The sequence below is a fragment of the Homo sapiens genome, chromosome 2, assembly GCF_000001405.40.
Source record: "Homo sapiens chromosome 2, GRCh38.p14 Primary Assembly".
In the NCBI taxonomy this organism is placed as follows: domain Eukaryota; kingdom Metazoa; phylum Chordata; class Mammalia; order Primates; family Hominidae; genus Homo; species Homo sapiens.
The window spans coordinates 40,745,674-40,766,324 of record NC_000002.12 but is presented as its reverse complement, the minus strand read 5'-3'; the positions used below and the strand labels follow the sequence as shown (position 1 = coordinate 40,766,324).

General features: G+C 34.5%; 2 long non-coding RNA genes across 7 annotated transcripts in view, besides 1 other annotated feature; one reads left to right on the top strand and one right to left on the bottom strand.

The window, feature by feature from the left end:
- LOC105374497 (uncharacterized) overlaps positions 1–20,651 on the top strand; it is a 291,527-nt gene that overhangs the window by 203,943 nt on the left and 66,933 nt on the right. The window lies entirely within an intron of this gene.
- Positions 1,367–19,844, bottom strand: LINC01794 (long intergenic non-protein coding RNA 1794). Of its 2 annotated transcripts, none has more exons than NR_183396.1 (4): positions 19,213–19,844; positions 11,696–11,759; positions 11,106–11,187; positions 1,367–2,068 (listed from the first exon to the last, which is right to left on the bottom strand). It is a non-coding gene; the product is annotated as a long intergenic non-protein coding RNA 1794 (long non-coding RNA). The 2 variants fall into 2 exon arrangements; NR_183395.1 differs by lacking the exon at positions 1,367–2,068 and adding an exon at positions 8,484–8,704 and having other exon boundaries at positions 19,673–19,844.
- Positions 14,904–15,078: a silencer, noted in NCBI's record as "fragment chr2:40978387-40978561 (GRCh37/hg19 assembly coordinates)". NCBI's record gives its function as "represses an EF-1alpha promoter that drives an FKBP-Casp9 reporter gene in an ReSE screen in K562 erythroleukemia cells {active_cell/tissue: K562}" and the evidence as "EXISTENCE:reporter gene assay evidence [ECO:0000049][PMID:32094911]".

Below are 20,651 nucleotides of genomic sequence, written 5' to 3'. Positions count from 1 at the left end.
ATACATTGCAAGGAAGCAATGGGCAAGTCAGCAAGAGAGGAGCTGACTGCAAGGACACAAAGGCTTGCTGGAGATTTTATAGGATGGTGCTTCTGCTTTGTGCTAAAGAGGGCTCTATGCAGTACTGATAACACCAAGGTTGCAGTGAGCTAACTTGCATTTTTCCATCAGCTGAGGGTCTTGTGATAACTGGGCACAAGAAGACTATGTGTTCTGGACTATGTAGAAAGGCAGACTTAAAACTTATCTGCTTTCTCATTTTGCTTTCCCTTTGTCCCACCAGCCCAACTACTTCTCCCTAATTTAGGACTTCACAATTTGTATTAGTCACTGAGACCTGCACTACATATATTAAAGCAGCTAATAATAATCAGTGGTGTCAGCAAGATCAATGAAGGGCAATTATGAATAAGACAAGAGAAAAGTAGTGGTGAGAAAAAATTACAACTAGAATGTTGGTTGACTAGTCCCTTTCATCCCTTGTACTTACTTTGACATGAAGATGCTTTCTCTGCTGAAATCTGCTCTATATCCATCTATGCACAGTGCCCCTATTTACATTAGCTCTTACATATTCCCTAAAAGACTTAAAGATTAAGAGAGTTTGGCTGCCTTTACAATTCTTACTTTGTTGCAATATCACTTAATTTTGTAGCATTTAAACTGCATTGAGTTACAGCAATAATAAAGTCTCCAACCATCCTATTCAGTCTGTGCTTTAAATGAGGTTAAATTTCTACTAGACCATCTTTGAAATATTACACCCATGTATAAAATGAGGCGTTTGTATTTTAAAACGTAATTCTGTTGGGAAATATTAAGACCCAATTTTTTTCAAAAACATTGTCAACTGCACCTAAGTTTTATACTTAAAAGAGTGGAGAAATTAAAAGGTCATAATTATTGATAATATAAGTAAGGACAAATCACATATTGCATATAGCAGATACTCCTAATCATTGGTGAAGCATTAGCACACATATTTAAATCATATTACACTTGAAAACTCAAATTATTTTGTAAACATATCAGGGAACCCAAAAGGTCAAGTGTTGTTTTTGCCTTATAACTATTATAATTCAAGGACTGAGAGGAATGATATATGTCATGTGATCTGGATGACACACAATCTCATCTTGACATCTTCAAAAGGACCACTAACCAAAAGAATATCCCTGTTACAGAACATTCATTAATACAAGTATATCATCTTTACACAAAACCTATGAGAACATTCATACTTACTCACTTATAAAATATCACTCTTTCACTACTAGGCCCCCACAGGCCCTTGGAAATTCAGTGGAAATCTGAGTTTCTTACATTTTTTTTCTCTTCTACAGCAAATTTTTATTTTATAAAAGCCTTTTCATTTTAAAGCCTGTTTTTATTTTACATTCAAAATACAATCAGATATGTGGGTGAAAAGAGATAAACGTGTTGATGGGAAGCTTTAGTGATAAAGATAGAAATGGCATTTTACATTTTTTGTTTGAAAACAGAATAACAAAGATTGTAAAACCTGTCAAGAAAGAAATGTAGAATGAAGCATGTTTGGTAAATAAGTTTGTATACATGATGACAAAATTAATATCTGGAAATTTGAAAACAGTTATTTTGTTGATTCTTCCACATTGTGGCAATAACAGGCTTGATATTCCCTTCTCTTTAAATAGATAATCCTTTTCTTGATTCCCCCAGGGAAATCAATATTAGGATAATACATTGAAATACAGATGTATATTTCAGTGATGAGATATGCTTGCAAAAATAATTGGTATTTATTATTAGTTATATATAAAATCTTAGTTCACTAGTATCCATTTCCTTGATTTAATGAAAAATATTTTGCTGTGGGCATTGTCTTCACAAAGGGACATGGTCTTGTCCATGGCCTAAGATTTTATCTGCCAAAGTTTGCATGTTGAGACTTCCTCATATGTTAGCCACATAGTAGGATACAGACTGTTTCTGGTATTTTCATCACCTTTTCCTTGTAGATTACCCCCCAAAATCAGCAACTTCAGCCATCCAGATCACGCACCTTCTGAAAAGAACCAAAGTTGCCCTAAAGTACAATTAATAAAGACATCTGGATTAGTATTTCCTTCTAGAGAGCTAAAATATTCCCATAGTACTTTTCCTGATTATTCCATGTGATATATATTTAGAATTTGCTCTTTGTGATGAAGAGATTTTTATGTTCCAAAATCAACTTTTCTCCAAGGTAGTTTGCTATTGTCCAATATAAACTTTTAAACACACACACACACACACACACGCACACACACAGACACCAATATCCATACTTAAAATATTGTTTAAAGTTTCTGTTACCTTTGCAAAGCAGATTTGGGATTATTTTTACCAGCTATTTCCAACCACCTATTAGAGTACCTAATATGGTTTGGCTGTGTCCCCAACCAAATCTCACCTTGAAGTGTAATAATCCCCACATGTCAAGAGCCGGGCCAGGTAGAGATAAGTGAGTTATGGGGGTAGTTTCCCCATACTGTTCTCGTGGTAGTGAATAAGTCTTACATGATCTGATGCGTTATAAATTAAAGTTCCCCCGCACAAGCTCTCTTGTAAGACATCCCTTGCTCTTCCACCATAATTGTGAGGCCATCCCTGCCATGTGGGACTGTGAATCAATTAGACCTCTTTCCTTTATAAATTACCTAGCCTTGGGTATGTCTTTATTAGCAGCGAGAGAACAGACCGATGCAGTGCCCATGTTAAATTTTCAGGTAAGAAATTTGCAACTGTGGGAAGGTTTCCCAGAATGGTAAAATTAGACACATAACCAGATCACTATTTCCTAACATGGTTACCTTTGGCTATATTTCCCTCAGAAAGGAATCTGTTGAGACCATTTGAGGACATTAAAAGAAGAGATTAAATTTTAGCCAGACACAAGTTTTCTCCAGGAGACATCAAGTTTTATATAGTCCCTTACTGATAATTTATGACAGTTTCCTCCATGATTTAATATCTCCATTCCATGAGACATGGCCTGGTTGCTGAAACCTAAACTACCTTCAATTATCAATGTGTTAGGCCTAGAAACTCCATATGTATATAAACACATGCCCACACACATATGTATATATGTGCATATGTATGCATCTGTTTCTGGAGTTGTAACGTGCTTTCTATATATGTAGTTAGTATATCAGTGATGATGAGATTTAATTTCTGGTTTATCTGAGACTTCATAATAACCAGTAATATTTTACTGACATTCAATTATGCCTTAAAGTGAACTCAGTAGAACTAGTATTTCGGTGAATAAGTCATAGAATCGGGCCCACTTTGAATCTTTACCGCTTACTAGCAGTATTGTAGAGTTAAGAATTTAAGTTACCACTTCAATATGGAGAGAAAATATATCTGCTTCACTTCTGTACCTCATTGACATATAGTAATGAATCAAATTTTAACTTTTTCTCTAATTATATCTTATCCTTTCATTTTTAAGTTTCTTTTGATTTCCAACAATTCCTATTCTGAAAGTATAATTGACAGTTTAAATTTCCAAGTCCTATTAAGGCTGTTTTACCCACACTTTTCCTTTTTAAGACGACATCTTGGAATAAGATGGCATGGATGTCACCATGAGATTGGGGTTAGTGGTTATCTTTGTCTCATGCTGGTCCTTGGGTGGCTCTCCACTGGCTGTGTGGAGGCTGGTATACCCTAAGATGAGGATAGTCTGTTCATATCCACAAGCATCCTACTAGTATGCATTAATGAGTTCTGTCCTCCTGGCCTAGCCACAATCCTATAGCTTTCCCTCGATGACTTATTCTCACTGAGGCCCAAGGAACTTTTCCTGAATCATGACTGCAGGATAAATGAACCTTCTCAGTAGCCCTTAATATTCAAGATCCTTTGCTCCCACAGTGATAGCTACTAGATGTTCAGCTACTTTTTTATACTCTCTTCTAGAAAATGTAGGAATCTGTGGGTTCCTGTAAGGGTATATGGCTACAGTACAGCTTAGGAATGCCTTCCCGTGTTCATTTATTCTTTCTCTGCTCTTTCTCTGTCATCTCCGTATTGGCACATGACAGTGTGCACGACCATTTCTTCCCAGGTGGCCAAATGGTGGACAAGGATAAACTATCCTTGATTTCAGCTTTCTCTCTAAACCTATTCAATAAGCTTTCCTACTCTAAGAACACAGTTTGGAAAGAGGCATTTCAGATACAGAGTCCCATATCTCTGATTTCTTTCATCTTATGTGCTTTGATGGACAGAAAGTGCAAGCTTCACATTTTCTCTTCCTGTCTAGTGTAATATTTACTTCTTTCTAAAGTTTCTTAAAGTATATAATGTCTTATGGGGCAATGAAAGAAACTAGATCTCTTGGGTTAAATTTCCAAGGAACCAGGATCTGATGTGGAAATATGTATGGAAGAGAGTTACTCGGGAGTCCTCTCAGGGAGAAAATTCAACATCTACTACTAACAACAAAAAAAGGAAAGAAGGACATCAAAATAGTAAGAGAAGGAAACTTCCTCAAACTCAAAAAATGCCATCCATAAAACTCAAAAATAAGAAGAGAAGGAAATCAAAATGAGAAGCAAACTTCCTTAAACTATAAAAGGGCATCCATAAATCATATATCTGGCATCATGCTTAATTTGGAAATAGTATGTTCCTCTGAGGTGATGAACAAGTCACGATATCAACTATCTCCAGTTCTAGTGCACAGTGTGCTGCAGATTTAAATTTGTAGGGTAAAACTAAATAAGTAAAATAAAATAAAATGCATCCAGATTAAAAAACAGAAGAAATAAAATGCAGATCCATGTTCCATGTACAGGAAGCACAAGATTTCAATATTGACCCTTACCTCACACCACATTCTATAATTAATTTGCAATGGATCATATAGTACCTGTAAAACATTAAAAATTTTCTAGAAGGAAATATTTGCAGCCTTGTATAGGCAAAGATTTCTAAGGGCACCTAAGAACAAAACATAAAAGAAACTTCGATAAAATGATTATTATCAAAATTAAAATTTTTTCTCCTATAAAAGTCATATTAACAAGTCTGCAATAGAATGGGAAAACTATTATATATATAAAAATATATAAAGCGTTATATCCAGAACATATAAAGAACTCTTACAACTCAATAGGAAAAAGTCTAGTAACTCAAGAACGTTACTATGTCTCACTAGGTCAAGCTCCTCATGACCACAGATTTAAGGAAATGTATAGTTGCTTAAATGTTTATAAGTAAATGTGTTATAGTAATCATTCCACTAATTCTATCTCTTTGCATAAAATTCACAGTTTACAAACCAAATAAAGTAAATTAAAGTTAGTTTTGCAATAACTGAATTATAGAGGATTAAGAATTGTCATTTTTCATTTGGAAGGGAAACTTCAGAATTTAATTTTTTTTTTACATGTCATATATGTGTGCTAGAACAAAAGGAGATCTGGGAGGTGGGAGGTTCTTACTATTTCCATGACTGTGCGTAGGTTAAAATTTAAACCTTTTAATTAAGGCCATGTCTCCTAATGGGCCAGAATTTTACAAGTGTAACAGTTTAAGGGATTTTGAGACAATTTTGCTGAATCCCAAGTAAGTACTGGCTCCATGAGTTTTCCTTCCTGCTCCTGCCATCCTCGACACTACAGGTTTACTGACTCCCCCTTTTTAGGGGAAATATTAATGTACTAAGCCGCTGGTAATTTCAGTGAAATAATACCTTTTTCACAACATATAATTTGGTTAGGCTGATTGAAGTCTTGAAACGCACTGAGTGGCATATGTGCTAAAAGACCAGGGGATGATATGTAGATTGTGATCTCTAGGCAGCTTGCCTTGAATAGCAATGAAAGGAACAGTAATGAGATTCCACGGGTACCTTGATCTGGATCTTGTCTTTTAATGATAGGCCACATTGGTTCTTCTTACTACTTAGCTTAGCCAATGCTAATCCAGTTTGTGGAGACAGTGGGGACAGAACATTTCAGATCTTCGTATGGGCTCTATTCTCTTATTTGTAACATTCTGGGTGGGGGAATATAACATGTAACCACTGGAGGACAGCAGAGAGCCAGGAGCAGATGCAGTGGTGCCTTGCATGGACACATTTGGAGTAGCAGTTGATGCAGTAGTCTGTAGCCAGTTATCACACCCCTGAACCAGGCTCCAACTTAATTGGAGAAAAGAAAAATACTTAAGTGCTATCCATAAAAGAGACTTAGAATGTAGTCCTCTAGCGTATCACGTCATTGGTATAAAATTTTGGATACTAAATGGAACAAGTAATACATAGAAATGGAAATGGTAAATGCTTCAGAATCAAACAAGTATTAATCTATTTAACACGTGTGTGTGTGTGTTTGTGTGTGTGTCTGTGAGATTTTAAACACCACTGCATTCAGACTAGCCAACAAACATTTCTTGAGTGGCTGCTATAAACCATGTACTCAGCTGGAATTTGTAAATAAGAAGATATAATGAAGTTCAGAAAAAGTTTTGAACAGAGAACTGCCATTATAAAAGGAATGTTTAAGGCAAATTCTCAAGGATGTAGAGACATGGCCTATAAATAACTTTAGCCCTAATTTAGACAGGAGTAGTAGAATGTGAAGATGTTATCACAATGCCAGTATTTAACAGAAAATAGGAGAGGTAAAGATAGACAATGAGACCTAATTGGAAAGGATTAAATGAATTGGAAGGTAAAGTATGAGAAGCATATCAAAATCAATACCATAAAATGCATCTAAGACATAAGGAGAGTGAGGCTAGGAAAACAAACAAACTAAAATTTTAAAATTCTGGACTTATTTCTAATGTTATTGGAATAATTAAATACTATTCCAGAAAAATTGAATCAGTAAATTCAAGAGGGCAAAACAAGGGTATATCACTTTTTAAACTAAGAGTGGGAGGAAAGAGAATAAAAGTAAAAGCTGACAACTACGGTTTCACAAGTTTGAAATTGAAAGAAGAGAAATAAGATTGCAAAGGGGGTAACATTTTTAGAAGAGAAAGAGAAAATGTATGAAACTTAGATCCAATCATTGATATGTGTCAAATACTTCAAAAAGTAAATTTTAATTTGTTTTAGAAATAGCAATAGCTAAAACTAAAACCAAAACAGAAACACAAATCATTTTCTGTTTGAAGCCATAAACAACACATTGGAAACTTGTGATAAAAAATCATCCATATAGATTCATATTATAATGAAGATCTTCTAGTACTTTCAATATCTCACTGGACAGAATCCAAAATGAGCCTACATTAAACGGAGTTTTGGGCTGTTACGGTTTACAGTAACAAGAAGAATTTCACTTCCTAATTGTGTTTGGTGAGTTGGATGTAGCCCAAGTAAGAAATGTGTTGGTGGAGTGCCTGTGTTCATTTCATTAGGCTGCTAGGAGATGTTATAAAAATGACATATTACATTTATATACAAGTGTTTTTTCCACAGAGCTCTAAGCACTGTATCTTTCTCTGAAAGTTCTGCATACTTATTAACAAGTACAATACTCTTGAGGGGAGAAGGTTATAGATATTATTTCTCTTTTTTGCTGGCAAGGGTACAAAGAAGCAATGTAATGTGTTCACAGAGACAGAGACAAAGACACAGCAAGACAGTACTTGATTAGCTTAACCTGTATTTATGAGACATAATTAGCGTGCCTAGTATCTGCAGGAAATGTGGCAACTAGATTGAAGAACTACCACATCCACCAATGTGAGCAAGCTATGGGAAGAAAAGATTATGTGCTCACAACTTCTGTAATACAAAACTTTATCAAAGGAAAAATCTTATGAGATCTATGCTGACCAAATAGAGTAAAAAACTGGAGTATTTAAGCAAGCATCATGATATACCAATTTCTATACACACACACGCATACATTATATATATATATAAAGTTCTGGGACACATGTGCAGAACGTGCAGGTTTGTTACATAGGTATACATGTGCCATGGTGGTTTGCTGCACCTATCAACTAGTCATCTACATTAGGTATTTCTCCTAATGCTACTACTCCTCCAGACCTCCATCCCCCAACAGGCATCAGTGTGTGATGTTCCCCTCCCTGTGTCTGTGTGTTCTCATTGGTTCAACTCCCACCTATGAGAACATGCAGTGTTTGGTTTTCTGTTCCTGGATACACCAATCTCTATGCATATCTTTTCCGGACTTTGTAACTAGAAAACATATAATGAAAGTCTAAGGAAGGGTTTGAAAAGGAAACTGGCATGAAAAGAAATAATTGAAGCAAATTCTCATGGATGTAAAGAAACAAACTGTTAATAATTTTAGTTTTAATTTGGACATGGTAGAAGGGTAGGCCTTCTTTGGGTTTAGGTTAACTAGTTTCAGTTATCAAATATGTTTTTAAAATGTATGTGTTGATTTTTTTCCCAGGAGCACAAAGAAGGTAGAAAAAGTTCATAAAATGATTGAATGGATTTGGAAACTCTTATATTCCCATTGTCTACACGTTTAATTATCAGGAAAAAAATATGTGTACAAATTCTGGATTATATTATAGATTTGGGAAAGAAAATCAAATACGAAAAGTAACATTTTATGCTTTTGGCAAACCAACTAGGTATTTAGTGTTTATTGTTTCAAGGTAGCTTCAATAGCGAGAAAGTCTCAGTGTCTTAATTCGCTGAAGTCCAGACATTCAGTAACTCCTTTGCCTAATCAAAATAAGTCAGGATTTATTTCAAGTAATATTTTTCATCAAGCTTTGATGTTCAAGAAAGGGATAGTCAACTTTAGAATAAAATCTACTTTATACTCAGTACTTAAATTTTGTATTACAATACTCAGTCTTTTCTTGGAAATTTCATTAACTTTTCTCTTAAAATCAACTTTCTATACTTTGATCATTCTGTGAGTATTATTCTAGATAAATCTATACCTATTTATTACAGTAACAGAGGCTATGATGATAAGATATGGAACCATCAAATTTTAAACAAAAGCAATGCTTGTGATGTAAAGAAGAGTCTTAAAAATCAAACAGTTAAATGAAACATGGTAACGTGCATGATAGGATATTACACAGCTATTTGGAAAATATGTCTCGCTACATTCTTTATGTAATGGAAGTGAATCTGATATAGTATTTAACAAAAAAGTAATATACATAATAGTGCCTACAATATGATCTAAATATTTATAGAAAAATGCACTAACAAGTTAACTTTTTAAACTGATTGATGAACTTATTGGTGATTTTTATATCTTCATTATAACGTGTGATGCATTTTCAAAAATTTCCAAATGAGCTTGTATTACTTTGTCAGGAAAATATGAAATAAAAGTTTCATATTTACATTAACAAAAAAATCAAACTGAGATATGCAAAAGAAAAATAATGCTGGCCTGGCATGCTGGCTCATGCCCAAAATGCCAGCACTCTGGGAGGCCAAGGCAGGTTGATCACTTTAGGTCAGGAGTTTGAGACAAGCCTGGCCAACATGCCAAAGCCCCATGTCTACTACAAGCACAAAAAATTAGCTGGGCATGGTGGTGCATACCTGTAATCCCAGCTACTCGGGAGGCTGAAGAATGGGGATCACTTGAGCCGAGATTGCACCACTGCAGTCCAGCATGGGTGACAGACTGAGAGAGGCAGGGAAGGAAGGAAGGAATGAAGGGAGGGAGGGAGGGAGGGAGTGGGGGAGGGAGGGAAGCAAGGAAGGAAAGAAAGGGAGGGAGGGGGAAGAAAGAGAGAGAAAGAAAGAAAGGAAAGAAAGAAAGAAAAAAGAAAGAAAGAAAGAAAGAAAGAAAGGAAAGAAAGAAAGAAAAAAGAAAGAAAGAAAAGGAGAAAAGAAAAAAGGAAAGGAAAGGAAAGGAAAGAAAGAGGGAGGAAGGGAGGAAGGAAGGAAGAAGAAAGAACAAGAAAGAAAAAAGAGACAGAGAGAGGGAGGGAGGAAGGAAATAAATCTGTGTTTGAGAACTATGATCTTTTTATCACTAATACCTTGGGATAAAACAAAGAATCATTTTGTGTGTTTCAGTGTTTGATAGTGTTGTGCTTCCAGCTTTAATATAATTCAGTTATGGCTTCCTTAATAGTATCAAACTGTTTTCTAAGTCACTAAAAAAAAAAAAAAAAAAAAAAACAAGTATTTAGTATAAAACGTTATTCAGGATCCAGACCTCCAATAAAACATTTTGAAGCATATATGGCAAATTATATCAATTGTGGCTATTGAAAGAGTGAAGTTGACTGTCATAGTGGCCAAAATCATTGACTCAATAGGCTAATAGTACTATCAAGATCTTCCAAAAAATTCTGCTGTTATAAGTCTCACTCTATTAATGTAGTTTATTTGCTTACTAAATGAATGTACAAATGGGTAAGCAAGATTTAATGCTGATTCTTTAGACCAAAAAAAAAAAAAAAGAGTTCAATTATTTTTCTGGAAGCAAAGCACACACAACCAAACAAATACCAAAAGTAGTCATTCAATTCTATCTTTGCATTAAAAAGGAGCTTTTGAATTTTATGCAATTTGGAAAAAAAAATGTCATATGTTCAGAAGAGAAATCCTCTGTATTCTCTGTTAATGAGAGACATTTTAATCGAAATGTTTTTCATAAAGTTCATCTAAATTAATAATCACAATATATTAAAGTATCCTTAAAGGTGGGAATTACATAGTTTTTAATATTTGATATTAATTAGTGATAACAGGCACTCTTACCTATGAAATCGTTACTGTGAATAAGAAACTACCAAGGGCTACGTGGCTTAATTGATATTCAGATACTCATCTACTTTTAAATGTTTTATAAAATTTCAAAATTTAAAATGTTTCAAAGTTCATCTTTTTGACCAAAAAGTTAAATTATAGAATTTCGTTTTGTGTAGAGATTAGGAAATATGCTATTTAGTCATCAGAAGAATACCATCGGTATGAAATACTTTGTAGTGTTAAGTACTATTTGTTATTAAATATACATTTTCAAAGACACATGTTGATTTATTCTCAGGTGCTCAGACAAGAAGGTAGAAAAAGATAATTTTTAAAATTTGAATGGATTTGGCAACTCCTATTTTTCCCATCAGTCTAAATGCTTACTTACCTTATTCATCCATAAACTGTCTTCATTCAGAAATCCCATGTTAAATACTGTGTTAAGTTCTCAAAATAGCTTCTCCCTGATTCTTCAGGATAAAAGGTATATTGCAGATGTCATCTCCATGGCAGATTTCCTGTCTATTAAACCCATCAAATGAAATCCAAGCAGTGATCACAGCCCTTTGCTCTGGCATAATCTTAAACTCCCCTTTGCAGGTGAAATGGTGGCCTGGAATGCAGTGAAACTGGGTAATAAGCATTGCATGGTCTTTTAGAGGGATATTGAAAGCTGCTCCTTCTATTTTGTATATTGAACTAGTGTTTAGAATTACTCAAATCAGTCTAACTTCTTGTACTTCAGTGTAATGCATACATTTATATAAGCAGCAACACTGGAATTGTCAGAATAATGTTGTCTATTGATCATCGTATTCAAAATGTTCTTCTCTAGGCTGAGAAGTCATTTCATTTTAATTACTATCAATTCAAATTACATCTTTCTTTTTTCCAAGCAACTTTGCTACTTTTATGTTCAGCCTACTTTGGAAAATAATCACTGCCTTTCCTTCTGTAACCTAAGTAAAGTAAACTTACGATTTTTAAATGTGGAAAGAAATGGAGTAGTCAAGTCCAATGATATAATTGGAAGTTCATATCCCTGCAAATAGAAGCATAAAATAAAATAAAACACTACCCTTTCTAGGCATATGATGAAATCTATTTACTGGAGATATATACACATACCATCTTTTCTTAAAATGTAAACTTATTTTATTCTTTCTTGCTCTTCAATATTTAATATTGGCCAGACTCCTCATTAATTCTTTGTTCATTCAACAGGTATTTACTAAATACCTACAAGGTGCCTGCAAGTGGTGTTACATGAATGAAAAAAAATACATTTCCCTGCTCTGATAGAGGTTTAATCTTAGCATAGGGAAAAAGAAAAAATATATTAAACAATTACATTATATCATATGTTTGGAGGTGCTAAGTGCTTAGGGAACAAAAGGGAATGGGGAAAACCTGGCTGGGGTGGGAATCACAGTTTTACATATGATGGTCAGGTACATGTTACAAAGGTGATAACTGAGTAAAGATTTGAAGGATGTGAGGGAATGACCCATGCAAACTTTTTTTTTTTTTTTTTTTCAGGGGAAACAGTCCCCAAGTACAGGAAACAGCCAGTGCAAATATTCTGAGGTAGGCTCATTCCAGCATGATGAATAATTTTCAGCCTATGAACACTTTCTAAGGAGTTTTTCATTCAGGCCATTGGTCCAAATACTACTATTTGACAAAACTGAGAATAAAAGTAAGTCTCTCTCAAGTTCTCAAATCTCTCCCAAGTTCCCAGGTATGAGGCTTAACGTGCCCTGCTTCAGAAATTTAGTTTTCACATTAGGAGGCCAAATTTATGAGCTAAGACCCTTCCTCAAAATTATGCTAAAATGTGAGTGTTGTATAATACTGCATTTGTCTTTTCTTAAATTGAGATATGCATAGAAGTAATCATGTTTAAAGTATGTGAGTCTTGCAATGTTTTTCTCAGTTTTTCAGGCTGTAGAATCCTCTGCATCTCAGATTAGCTTTTAGCAGTAAGATAGAGGCCTCAATCCTGTGTCTCTTCCTATGCAGTTTAATCCTAAACTAAAGATAAAGTCTTACAGACTTTAATGAATCTTACTGCAAGTCTAAATCATGTACAGAACCCTGGTTTTAGAGAGTATTAGAAATTTAGTTTATAGTTTTATTTTTCTAACTTCTGCTAACAATAAAAACTTCCTAAAAGTCAATAGGAATAAGTATTAGGCAAATTAGTCTCATTCATAGATCTGTCTAAAACAACAAAAAAAGAAAGCAGTTTGGTTCTGTGTCTTTTTTTTGTTTGTTTTGCAACAGTGCATTTCAGCAGGGTAAAATACATGAATAAAAGACATCAATTTTTTAGACTGTCTTTAAAGCTGCATGTGGCTAATGACTGAGATGTTGCCAATTCCTGGCCAATGGAATTTGTGAGAAAATGTTGGATATACTTTCAGAACAATTCGTTAAAAGGAATTGACCCAGATAGAAGGGCCACCTTGACCTTTTCTAAGTTTCTTCCTTTTACTGGTCCAAGTGTAAGTGGGATGACTGAGGCTCTAGACACCATCATGGGCCAGCAGGCGATCTTGCTGATGTATATGTGGCAGAGCAAAAATAACTGAGCCTAATCCTTGCCGACACCACTGACTCCTCATGCCAAGCCATGAACTTCTTACTACTGGACTTCCTTATTTTAAAGAAATAGTTTCATTTTGTTTAGTCTATTTTAATTTGGTAATTTTTTTTCTTTATGAGTTCTTATTCACTCCTTACTAGTACAATCATCTCATCCCATCTTTTAAAACATTCTTGAAATGATGGACATAGGTAAAAATATCTATTTTCACCACTCCAAATTAGAAGGCAATCGTGTGATTTTGAGTGAATTTTGTCAACTTTCTGAAAGGCTATCTTTCATTAGCTTGTGTCAGCTAGCCTTAGATACCTTAATTGGCTGAAACTACCCTCAACAGATTTCCCTATATTTCTGATTAGTTACCAGTGCTGATGTAAAATTTTCCCTTTAAAATGTCAATTATTTCAGTGAACTTCTAGTAGAACTGCTACCTTACACTGAATTTTCCAATGTGCTCATTCATATATGTATTCCCATGTATGCACATGGATGTATGTTCATGTGTGTATACATATATACAGAAAAATAATGCATACTTATGATGTTTGTAATTGCATAAAAAATTTGTTGAGCATCTATTATATGCTAGATATAGGAAATTTAAAATGTCTTCAGAGATCATAAATAGGTTTTACTTGGATCAATGTGGCTAAAATGTAGAGTGAAGAGAAGGTTTTGAAAATACAATGACTGGGAAACTTATGCTAAATAGAGAAATTCAAATTAGGTCTAATAGAATTTGATTCTAGAAAGATGACTACTCTTCTAAAATAAAACGAAAACAACAGACTGTTCTCTTTAAACTCAGAGCAATGAGAAAATCCTTTACATAATACAAAGTTCCTGTTCCAGTTCTTTGAGTAATCTCTCTGAGTCACATAAGTCAAAGCAAACTAAATATTGGAATAGAGTGAATTCAAATGAATTAAAAATTGGAACTTGAAACCAGTGGCTTCACTTTTTAATTTTTGTTACTTTCCTTTAACATCAAATAAGCAGTGAATTTTTATTCATACCATGAACAACATTACTTCCTAATGTGAGTGGAATATAACACAAAACACAAATAATCTGACCTTAATTCTGTTACCGATTAGCCTCAAGGAATGCTACGGTAATGTATTGTGTTCTGTCTGTACAAATCAATGAATTCTGAAGAATCAAAAAAGCAGATATTTGAAAACTATCCTTAATTGCATATTTTATGCTGATTTTAAGTAGCAGCATGCATCTCGTATATTCATATGCTGATTCATTACATAATGGAAAGGATACTGTATTTGGAATCAAAATCCTGGGTGAGAATTTTTGCTTTACCACTAATAATAAAACCTAAGGGAGTGATTGAACCAATTCAGCCTGTATTTCCTATCTGTAAGAGGGAAAAATAATGCCTTCCCTATGTTACTTTCACAGTTGTTGGGTAGATGTAACTTAGGGCCATGGAAGAGCCCTAACTCTAAATCAGAATATCTAAGTTCCATTCCTGACTCTATCACTGATGCCCTTCATAACCTTAATTACAACACTTTTCTGATCTTTTCCTCATTTGGCTTACTTCTAAATGAAAGGCTAAGTCACATGTGTCTTATTGATATTAGTACTTTCTAGTTAGATTCTAAAGTAATTTCAAACTTACAGAAATAATGTGAATAGCAAAAATAATTCCCGGCCGGGCGCGGTGGCTCACGCCTGTAATCCCAGCACTTTGGGAGGCCGAGGCGGGTGGATCATGAGGTCAGGAGATCGAGACCATCCTGGCTAACAAGGCGAAACCCCGTCTCTACTAAAAATACAAAAAAAAATTAGCCGGGCGCGGTGGCGGGCGCCTGTAGTCCCAGCTACTCGGGAGGCTGAGGCAGGAGAATGGCGTGAACCCGGGAAGCGGAGCTTGCAGTGAGCCGAGATTGCGCCACTGCAGTCCGCAGTCCCGCCGGGGTGACAGAGCGAGACTCCGTCTCAAAAAAAAAAAAAAAAAAAAAAAAAAAAAAAAATAATTCTCATACTTTATGCAGATTCACCATTTTTTAACATTTTGTCACAATTGTTTTATCATTCTTCCTTGCATATATATATACACACACATTGTGATATGTATATATGATTTACATAGAAATATATATTTGAGAACATTACATATATCATTTCCATTTATACTTCATTATGTATTTCCTAAGGTATAAAACTTACACTAACTTCACTGAAGTATTCAGGTTTTTAATATTTTAACTATAAGCAACACATGTGAATTATACTGTGAAATCTAAAGCACTACTAAAATTATAAATTGTTTTTCTTAAGAAACTAGCCCAAAAATATTTTATAAAAGAGCTAGCTATTTTTCAAATAAAAGATTGAACCTACATTTTTATAGATTTGGAAACATTGTACCTGGAATATACCTAGAAGAAAATGTAATGATTTCCAATTCTAATTTGTACAGGTAATAGAAATATATGTACAATTTCTGGCAGTCTAAAAATAATTTATATTACTCATAGGGAAAATATTTCATGTATCACATCATTTGAGTCAGGTTTAATTAATCAAATATAATAGTACTTTAATCACATAGGTAGACTATTAAAATAAACAATGGTCAGTCCTGAGAATGTATTTTTTTTCTACTCTAAAGGTTTAATGTTTTATGCATAGTCACTTTAGTACATCAAATGTGTAGAGTATATTTAATACAGCATTCTTTTCAATAGAATATTGTCAATTGCAAATCATGTTTAAATCAGCTAATGGAGAGATTTGTGCGTGCTACTCCTTCCCACACACCAGCCAGAAAACATGTAGCCATGTTTGAGATGACAGGAGAATGCTTATTTGAATTTAAATCATGTTTAAGGCAGAGCTATATTAAGCAATGGCTCCATAACTAATGAATTTCTTTGGAGAAATTGCTAAATATTATACCATCATACTCCAATTTTTTAAAAACATATCTAGCAAATTCATTTGAAAGAAAACAACAACTGAATTATCTCTTAGGACAGACCCACTCCAATGGAGAAAGAAAATACACCTACCACCTCTTCACTGCTTCCAGGATGCCAAATTTTGATGTCAACTATTGTTTTCTTTCTGTTACCATAGTGAATGATAGAATGGATTGCTAAAGTCCCTTGGAGAAAGATTTCTTTCTTTTTAAAACAAACGTTATTTTTTTTTCTTCTGAAGAACAATGCTATGCGCACAATGTAGTACTTTGAAGTCTTTAGGATTTTGATCATTATAATTTCCTGAAGCATACATACAAAGCTCTTTATCAAATACTTTTTCAAAGCTCTCTGGTAATTATATACTAGCTGATTTTATATTTTATTTAAAAATGCATTTCACAAGTTTTATTCCAAACTACACAACCATGTCCGTTTTTGTTCATCCCTCAAGCTCCATCCCAATGCCCCATCTTCCACAGAGTCACATCTGTTTTGAAAAATAATGCTTGAACATTTCAGCAACCACAAATCTTTATCTGCACCTCTAATACGGCTCCAAATGCTTTCTATATGATGGTATGTTAATTTGTGTGCAATCTTCATCTCTTCTTTCACAAAGGATTCTTGTCTTATTAATATTTGAATTATCCACAAGTTTTTAAAAAGTCTGAATTAATACTAAATTAAAAGTAACCCCTCTGAAATTCCAAAATATAAAAATCTTTTCATGCATTTTTAACTTATAAATATATCATATTTTCTTCCACATTTTTCTGTCTCCTAAACAAAATTGTACAAGTTTAAATAACATATTAAGACACTCTTTAATGAAGTTTAAATAATATATTAAGACACTGTTTAACACAACTTTCCATTTCTGAGATTTTCCCCATTACAGTTTATGGTAAAATCATAAAGGATGTACAAAATGGGAATTTAATGAATGAATATTATTTTCAATCTTCCCAACTCAGATACCAATATATTTTATTAACAGTATATTAATACTTGCTATATCTCATTAAATTATGCTTTTTATTTACGTAAACAGGGCCCAAAATAATTTACTTCTCAACTGCATAAATAAAGCCAAACTATTAGCGTAAATAAAATAAAGCATGGTGTATCTGGCATTATAAATGACAATGACCTGTTGAGTGATTTGATGCTGTGCTAAACTCTGGAGTCATGGAAATATTAAAGCTCATAGGAACAATGCAGTCAGAGTTCTGAAAGACCTTACAGTTGACTGGCGCTCAGATGTCTGATAAAATGCAATAGAAATAGTACAAATTTATAAGCAAGAACACATATATTAGAAACAAAGGGTGTATTTTTTTTTTTTTTTTTTTTTGAGACAGAGCCCTGCCCTGTCACCCAAGCTGGAGTGCTGTGGCGAGATTTTGGCTCGCTGCAACCTCCACCTTCCAGGTTCAAGCGATTCTCCTGCCTCAGCCTCCCGAGTAGCTGGGGTTACAGGTGCCCGCCACGGCGCCCAGCTAATTTTTGTGTTTTTAGTAGAGGCGGGGTTTCTTTCTTTCTTTTTTTTTTTTTTTTTCTTGAGACGGACTCGCGCTCTGTCGCCCAGGCTGGAGTGTAGGGGCGCGCGATCTCGGCTCACTGCAAGCTCAAGGCGGGATTTCACCATGTTGGCTAGGCTGGTCTTGAACTTTTGACCTCAGGTGATCCACCTGCCTCAGCCTCCCTAAGTGCTGGGATTACAGATGTGAGCCACCGCGCCCGGTCTAAAGTGTTTTTTGTTTTTTTTTTTGTTTTTTTAAGGGAGCCAGGTTTGTTTTCTGGAACACATATTCTGTATGCCTTCTATATTCTTTAGAAATATTGTTTACCCAGAAATTTTCTAGTTCAGCCTGAGTTTCTTAAGAATTGGAGAACATTTTTGAGTTTATAATTATTACCATTCCTGGTCAGAAAAAGAGAAATATATTTACTGTAATAACAGTCAAGATAATATGTAACAACTTTCCCATAAGGTTTTCCAAGTTCCTTAATATGACATTGCCTGTAAAAAGTATAGTGCTAGCTAGGTGTGTGTTTAACATTTAGAATGCTGTGCACTCCAAATAGATATTAATCCACAGCAACTGCGGTGAAAATTTAATATGTTACCTTAATAGAAATTTGTCTCAAAGAAAAAAAAAATCTTATTTCAGTTTATTAAATACCTCAACAGACCATTGTTTGGTAAACAGAATTGTGTATAAATAATCATCCATCAAATAGGAAAGCATAGTGTTGACAGAGAAAATGTACTTCATTTTAACCTGTCTTTAAGTTCTCCTTTCTTGAGAAATGATAATTTCATTATAAGAATTATAGGAAAATATGGATTTCACTACCAGAATTTCACTGTAAGATTGAATGACGAGCAAGTATTAATTATGTGTGTGTGTGTATACAAGAGAAAGAGTGAAAGACTGAGAAATGAATGAAGAGTAAGTGTCTTTTCTAATAAAACAGCAACATAAGCAATGTTAATATATTGGGCAATATGTGGGGCAGGAAGAGAGAGAGAGTGGAAGACTGTCGTGATAGGGTACAATGACATTAGTGACACTATCAGCTGTTGTAAGCTTGAATACGGTTCTGATAAGGGAGATGCAAATTGTGCCAGTCCAGAAAAAGACCAAGATGGATATGTAACTTTTTACCAGCAAAGTGGAGAATTTGTCAGCTTCTGCACATCTGTCAAAAGATTTTCTGAGTCATCAACTATACTTTGTCATAAACTTGTTCATGTCAAGCAGAGAGATGAAAAGTTCAGGGGAGCTCTCATCTCTACCATGAAGTTCACCTCTTCCTTAATTTCACTGGCAAGCATTGTAACTCTAAAATCTTGTCCTTATAAATTATTTATAAGTATATATGTAATTTAGAAAAATCCATAGATGGCAGTTTAATGCCTCTGAATAGCTTACCAAATGCAGAACTTCATTTTGTAGATATTCTTTCAGAATCTTTATGTAATAGAACTTTAATTTTTATTTTAAAACAAACATGTATTTATGGCCTGATAGAATTCCCTATTTTCTATATAATAAAGAAGATACTAACAGAGGTTTTGGTATTAGATAACATGTAGACAACGTAACCTGAAAATGCTCATGGCAGAAACTTAGAGGAACTCCAATAGTCTCCCTTCCTCCATAGAACTAGAACTCTAATTTTAGAATGCTGGCTGCTTAAATGCTACAATTCTCAGGAAGCTTCCAGGAAGTGTAGCCATATACCTAACATCTGACATATAAAGCGAGAAAGAATAATATATGCAACTTTGAGGATGTGTCTTTGAAAAGAAGGAAATGCCTTCTTTCTTCTCTACCTCCAATCTGCTCTGGAAAAATGAAAATGTTAAGTCCAATTTGGAAATTGTGTTACCGGTGGAGGGTCTTGACTGCAAATTGTCCAGGTTCTTGGCATTTTGAACAAAGAATTGGACAGAATGCACAGCAAAGCAATGAAAGAATGAAGCAATGAAAGCAAAGATTTATTGAAGATCAAAGTACACTCCACAGGGTGGGAGCTTGCAGAGCAGCTGTTCAACGACCCTGGTGACAGAATTTTCTGGGGTTTATATACCCTCAAGAGGTTTCCCATTGGTTCACTCGAGTGACCTGTGACTAGTCTGATTGGTTGAAGAGGAGGCCCACGACCAATCTGATTGGTTGCAGGAGGGGACCAATCAGAGGTACTTTCATTTTCCAACTGCCATGCAACAACTGCGAGGCAGCAAAAGGAGGGGTTACAACTGCCAGCAGCAACTGCCATGCAGAATAAAGGAGGGGTTGAAAAGGGAGTAGCCTCTGATATCGAGTCAGGCAGAATCAGCCTTAGGTTCCCTGCCTCCAAACCCTATTCTCCTTGCCTCGCTTGAGACCATGGCATATAGTATAGAAATTATGTAGAAGAAAGCTGAAATAAAGCTTACATTCTAGATAGATATGTAAACCTAAGCTACCTTCATCAGGACCTAGCTTTTCTCTTACATGAGAAAGAAAGAAACTCTTGTGGTTTAGCAAATTTTATTTTTATTTACTTTTTTAATGCTTTATTTTTAAGTAACTGAAGATTCACACACAGATGGGGAAATTAATATACAGAAATTCCATAAACTCTGCGGCCATTTTTCATCAGTTGTGACACCTTGTATAGCCATAGTATAAAATCACAACGAGGAAACTGGAATTTTGAGTCTTTCTTACAAACTTACTTAATAAAATAGTATTTATTTAGAATGTGCAACATTTGGATCTCTGTTTTAAACTTAAACCTAGCTGTTCCACTTTATGGTACAATTTACTTAGAAATACTGGATTTACTATTTTTAAGTCCTTTAAAAATTATAAGTGCTCTCACA